The sequence below is a fragment of the Homo sapiens genome, chromosome 12 (genome assembly GCF_000001405.40).
Source record: "Homo sapiens chromosome 12, GRCh38.p14 Primary Assembly".
NCBI classification, from domain to species: Eukaryota; Metazoa; Chordata; class Mammalia; order Primates; family Hominidae; genus Homo; species Homo sapiens.
The window spans coordinates 71,356,841-71,363,991 of NC_000012.12; the positions used below are offsets into that span (position 1 = coordinate 71,356,841).

At 37.0% G+C, this 7,151-nt stretch overlaps 1 annotated feature.

The window, feature by feature from the left end:
• Positions 640-1,140: an enhancer, noted in NCBI's record as "H3K27ac hESC enhancer chr12:71751260-71751760 (GRCh37/hg19 assembly coordinates)". NCBI's record gives its function as "activates a minimal SCP1, AML or CMV promoter by ChIP-STARR-seq in naive H9 embryonic stem cells {active_cell/tissue: H9 hESC(naive)}" and the evidence as "EXISTENCE:reporter gene assay evidence [ECO:0000049][PMID:30033119]".

Sequence of the window (7,151 nt, forward strand, 5' to 3'; positions counted from 1 at the left end):
ACATTCTTTCTATTTTATCATTCTTCCTCTCCAAAAACCCTAAAAGGAAAAATAAATTAAAATACTGAGAATTAATACATAATATACTAGCAGGCTGTTTTAGTATACAAATGTCTTGCTCATCTTCTTTTATTTATGAGTACATTTCTAGAAACAGTACCTCTGAAGTTTAGCACTTTTGTTTTAAAACATTATTACTTTCCAGATTCACATATGGCAATGTTTTGATTTTTTTGACATTTTCTTCTTGATAACAAATGACATTTTGCTTCAGAGGCTTTAGTTTAGAAAGACAGAGCAACACACAAAGCTAAGAACCAAAGCATCTATTTTTTACTTACTAGTAATTGAAAGACAGTGCACACCTTGAGCCAAAATTTATCTCATTAAATTTTTAGGCTGTTGATATTTTTAAAATGCACATGACATGGTTCCTGATTTCAAAGAGCTTATGGCACATTGGAGGGAGATAGATATACAAGTAACTAAGAGCAATGCAAGGCTGCAGTTACTAAAACAAATGTCTTTACAAGCATAAAGGAGAGGCTAGTTACTTCTACATTGGGAGATATGAAGTAAGGCCTTCAAGAACTGTTTTATAAACTGAAAGATTGAGCCGAAAATTCTTCAATATAGTTCAAAATTACATTTTTAAAAAAAAAATGAAGAAAACAATGAGTGACATCAGCAAGATGGCTGACTAGAAGCCTCGAGTCCTACTGCATGCATCAGAGGAGTAACAGAACCCTGGTGAGCACAAAATCCCAGGAGGGCCACATAGGGAACAGCAGAAAACACCAGGACCCCACAACCCCATCTCCCAGAAAGAATCAGCTGGGAACCAGGAGGAACTTCTCCCCCTCTCAAGGAGGTAAACAAGAGGATTTCAGCAACCCCCATTAACACCTTGGACACCTGCAGTCATTACACTGGGGTCCCCTGCAGTCCTCACAAGCACTAAGCCCAGCTAAGGGAGCTGCCTGGAGTTCACATAGCTGTAATCCCCCCGGAGAAGGAGCCGGCACTGTGCTCCACCCCATGGCCAGCGCAGCTACAGTGCTATGCCATTTTGGAAGTGGAACTACAGCTGGAGTGTCTTGTGCTAGGGGAGAGTAGCCACTTCATCCCTGAGCCTAAGCCACCACTGAGCCACCTCAGCCTAGCGGCCCAATATCCCTAATCAGAGCTGAAAGCAGCTGTTACACACTTCCCTGTGGGGCCAAGTAGAGATGGAGCTGCTTTACCTACTCCTGCTCTATCTACTCAGGCCAAAGCTGAAGTGGTATGCAGCCTTCTGGAAAAATAGCACCTTGGCTGCTCAGAACAATTTTGCCTCCATGGTACCTTACTTGCAGCAATGTCCTGCATCCCAGGAAATGGTGCTTGGATCACTCAGAACAGTCACACAGTATGACCTGAGCCAAAGCAGCACATTGTCCTGGGAAAATTGGTGCCCTGGCTGAGCTAATCAGCTGCACATCCCAGGGCTGAGCTGATGTAGTACACTTATCCCAGGAAAACAGGACAATGGCTAAGCTGAGACACCCCACCCTATATCCCTACTGGCCAAACAACTCTAATTACCCTGCTTCCCTGGAGCTGGACTACCTCCCTAGAGTCTGAGCTGCTGAGATACTCCTCTCACTGGACAGTGGAGTCATTACTGTGCTGTCCTTCCCCTCCAACCGCTGCAGAACCCTCTCAACAGCTACCTGCCATTCTGGGGTACTTGCTGCCACTGTACTGGGCCTAACAGAGTCTGGGATAGTGCTGAGCCCCATCATCCTGGAGTCTAGAGACACTACTACAAAGTGATTTATCTGCTAGGACATCAGTTGTCACAGAGCCCTATTGGCTAAGGTTCCCAAATTGCAGCTGTATTCTGTTCCCCAGGCTCAAATCTCCAGAGCACTCCTTCTTCCTCAAAGTTGGGCCAGTACTGTGCCTTGGCCCCCCAGGGGTAGAATCATAGCTACAACCAGCCCCCACAAGCCCAAGCTACTAGGAAGTGCCTCAGAGTCACAGATCCTGGTTCTGTGGGCAACTCTGCTACAGAAAGCAATTCTGTACCCCAATTCTACATTCAACTCTGCTACAGAAAGCAATTCTGTACCCCAATTCTACATTCAACTCTGCTACAGAAAGCAATTCTGTACCCCAAGACCCAGGTGCCACAAGAGGTTTACAAGATCCTGAGACTAGGACCCCAGCCCCACAGCAACTCTGAGCTCCTGCACCTGGAAACCTATGCCGTACAGCTGCTTATAGGCTATGTCAGACCTAACACCAAGAGGATCCCCTTGCCTAAGGCTCCTCAGGGGAGGTGGGGAATGTGAAAATAAGAGGATCTCAAAAGCCCTTGACACTGAGGACATTAACAAACTATGCCACTGCTACAAACTTCTACAGCATAGGTGACTGGAGTGCCCAGAATTATTGCTGATGTTGAACACAGCTGAAGAAGCTGCATGAAGACTGCACTTATCTGGAAACAGAGTCCCTATACCCTTCCTAACTAGTACACTAAAACCCAGTTGCAGGTGAAAGTATTTCTCTACGAAAGCCACTGTAGAAATTTTGGAAGAGGTATCAGATACAAACATCAATGCAGGGACAAAAGAAACATGAAAAAGCAAAAATATATGACACCACTAAAGGAACATAATTCCATAACAGACCCCAATAAGAAAGAGCGAACCCCAATAAAAAGGAAATTAATAAATTTCCAGATAAAGAATTAAAAATAATCATCTTGAGGGAACTAAATGAGATATAAGAAAATACAAACAGATAATTCAATAAAATCAGGAAAATTATTTATGATATGAATGAGAAATTCAACAGAGATAGAAATCAGAAAAGAATGGAACAAATCCTGCAGATAAAGAATTCAATAGGAATAAAATTTTAAAATACAATATAACAATAGAGAGCTTCAACAGCAGACATGATTAAACAGAACAATCTCTGAAATTGAATATAAGTCATTAGAAATTACCCAGTCCAAGAAATAAAAATGAAAGGGTGAGGAATGCCTACAAGACACATGGGACACCATTAAGCAAACAAAATTCTGTATTATGGCATTACCAGAAGGAGAAAAGTAGGGAAAAGGTATAGAAAACTGATTAATGAAATATCTGAAACCTTCCGAAGTCTGGAGAAAGATACAGGTATCTAGATCCAGGAAGCTCAAACAGATTCCCAAACAGATTCAACCCAAAAAGGTCCTCCCAAGGCTTACAGTCAAATTGTCAAAAGTCAAAGAAAAAAAGACAATTCTGTAAGTAGTAAGCGAAAAGCATCAAGTCACATATAAGGGAATCTCCTTTAGACTAACACCAGATTTCTCCATATAAACCTTACAGGCCAAGAAAGAATGAAGTGACATATTCAAAGTGCTGAAGAGAAAAAAAAATCCAGCCAAGAATACTATACCTAGCAACACTATCTTTCAGAAATGAAGGAGAAATAACATCTTTCCCAGATAAGCAAAAACTGAGAGAAATCATCTCTCATCACCACTAGACCAATTTATAAAATATTTTCAAGGTAGTCCTATGTCTAGAAGAAAAGAGATATAATTACTATCATGAAAACACACAAAAGTATGAAATTCACTAGTACAGCAGACACAAAGAAGAGAAAAGAATCAAATCTTATCACTACAGAAAACCACCAAACTGCAATGATACAAAATAAGAGGAAAAAATACACAAAAGCTATACAAAAAAAAAGAAAAAAACAGAAAGCTACTAACAAAATGACAGGAGTAGGTCCTTCCTTGTCAGTAATAACCTTGAATAAAATGAATTAAGTTTCTCCACCTAAAATTTTGATATGGACTGAATGAATGGATTTAAAAAAAACTCAACTATATACTGCATAGAAAAACATTCCACCTGTAGAGACACACATAGACAGAGAGTGAAGAAATGGAAAAAGATATTCTATACAAATGAATATCAAAAGCAAGCTGGAGTAGCTATACTTATGTTAGATAAAATGCACTTTACATCAAAAATAGCAAAAAAGAGGCCAAGAAGATCATTATATAATGATAAAATTATCAATATAGCAAAGGATGTAACAATTATATATGTAAATGCACCCAACACTGGAGCACCCAGATGTATAAGGCAAATATTATTAGAACTAAAGAGAGAGATCAACTCCAACACAATAATAGTTGGGGACTTCAATACCCCTACTCTCAGCATTGAACAGATCATCTAGGCAGAAAATCAACAGAGAAACATTGAATTTAAACTGCACTTTAAACTAAATGGACCTATCAAACATTTATTGAACATTTCATCTAACAGCTGCAGAACACATATTCTTTTCATCATTACATGAAACATTCTCTGGGAAAGACCACAAGCTAGGTCATGAAACAAGTCTCAACAAATCTAAAAGAACTGAAATCATACTATCTTTTCTAACCACAATGGAATAACATTAGACAATAACAACAGGAACTTCTGAAATTGTACAAATACATGGAAATTAAACAATGTACTACTGAATGACCAAAAGGATACACTGTTATACGCTGTTGATGGGAATGTTAATTAGTATAGCCATTATGCAAAACAATATGGATCAATGGGTCAATAAAAAAAATTAAGAAATAAATTAAAAACTCTTTGAAACAAGTGAAAATAGAAACACAGCATACTAAAACCTATGGAATACTGCAAAAGCAGTTTTAAGAAGGAAGTGCATAGTAATAAACACCAACATTAAAAAAGTAGAAAGATTTTTTTTAATTTTATTTTATTTTAAGTTCCAGGATATAGGTGCAGGACCTGCAGGTTTGTTATGTAGGTAAACGTGCGCCATGGTAGTTGGCTGCGCCTATCAACCTATCACCTAGGTATTAAGCCCCATATGCATTAGCAATTTATCCTGATGCTCTCCTTCCCCCCACGACCACAACAGACCCCAATGTGTGTTGTTCCCCTCCCTGTGTACATGTGTTCTCATTGTTCAGCTCCCACTTCTAAGTGAGAACATGTGGTGTTTGGTTTTTTGTTCCTGCATTAGTTTGCTAAGGATAATGGTTTCCAGCTCCATCCATGTCCCTGCAAAGGACATGAACTCATTCTTTTTTATGGCTGCATAGTATTCCATGGTGTACATGTACCACATTTTTCTTTATCCAATCTATCATTGATGGGCATTTGAGTTGATTCCATGTCTTTGCTATTGTGAATAGTGCTGCAATGAACATAAACTTGCTTGTATCTTTGTAATAGAATAGTTTATATTGTCATTCTATTATAAATTATTCAAAACCATTCTATTAGACAGATTTTAAATAAACAACCTAACAATGCATCTCAAGGAACTAGAAAAGCAAAAAAAAAAAAGAAAGAAAGAAAGAAAGAAAACCAAACCTACAATTAATGGAAGAAAAAATAATAATAAATATCAGTACAGAAACAAACAAAATTGAGATAAAAAAATCAGTGAAATAAAAAGTTGTGTTTTTCTGAAAAGACAAACAAAATTGGCAAACCATTAGCTAGGCTAACCAAGAAAAAAAAGATCCAAATAAATAAAATCAGAAATGAAAAGAAGAAATTTCTACATGTACCACAGAAATAGGAGGGATTATTAGGAACTATTATGAACAACTATACTACAACAAATTAGAAAACCTAGTAGAAATGGATAACTTCCTGGACACATACAACGTACAATTATTGAATTGGGAAGAAATAGAAAACCTGAACAGAAAACATTTGCAAACTATTCATCCAACAAGGAATTAATATCCAGAATACACAAGAAACTCAAACAACTCAACAACAACAAAAAAATCAAATAATCTGATTTTTAAAATGGGCAGATGAGCTAAATCGACATCTCTCAAAAGAAGACATACAAATGACAAATATGTATATGAAAAAATACTCAGTATCAGTCATCATAAGGAAAATGCAAATCAAAACTAAAATCAGATATCATCTCATCCCAGTTTGGATGACTCTTATCAAAAAGACAAAAAATATCAAACACTGGCAAGAATACAGAGAAAGAAGAACTCTTATACACTGTTAGTAGGAATGTTAATTAGTATACCCATTATGCAAAACAACATGAAGGTTTCTCAAAAACTAAAAGTAGAACTACCATATGATCCAGCAATCCCACTACTGGGTATATATCCAAAGGAAAGGAAATCAGTAATGTTAAAGAGATATCTGCACTCCCATGTTTACTGCAGCACTATTCACAGTAGCAAAGACACAGAATCAATCTAAGTGACTGACAAACAGATGAGTGTATGAAGAATATGCCACACGCACATACACATACACACACACACACAATGAAATATTATTTAGCCATAAAAAAGAATGAAATTCTGACATTTGCGACAGCATGGATGAACTTGAAGGATATTATGTTAAGTGAAATACGCCAGGCACAGAAAAATAAATACCTCGTTCTCACTCACATGAGTAAGCTAAGAAAAGCTGATCTCACAGAATTAGAAAATGGAATAGTGGCTACTAGAGGCAGGGAAGTGTAGAGAGGAAGAGATAAATATCCAAAGGTAGTCAATATATACAAAAGCACAGCTAGGTAAGAGGAATAAGTTGAGCATTCTGTACCACTATAGGGTGACTATAATTAAAACAATTTATTGTGTATTTTCAAATAGCAAGAAGAGCAGATTTTGAATGTTACCAACATGAAGAAATGATAAATGCTTGAGGTGATGGATATGCTATTTGCCCTGATTTGATCGTTACATATATATATCGAAATATCACACTGTACCCTATAAGTATGTACAATTATTGTGTTCATTAAAAACAACAAAAGCAAAAAAAAGAAAAAATTGTACTACTATTAAAAAATACTTATTATGTAATATTAATTGGAAAAACAGGATGCAAAATTAGTATACACAGTATAGCTCTGCTTAAAAGTGACATGCACAGGGCAGATAAACAGGTGGAGCACAGGGAATTTTTAGGAAAGTGTAACTATTCTGTATGATACTATAATGATGGATATACATCATTTTACATTCGTTCAAAACCCATAGAATGTACAACACAAAGAGTGAAACTTAATGTAAGCTTGGACTTATAATGTGTCAATATCAGCTCAATGGTCATAACAAATGTCAT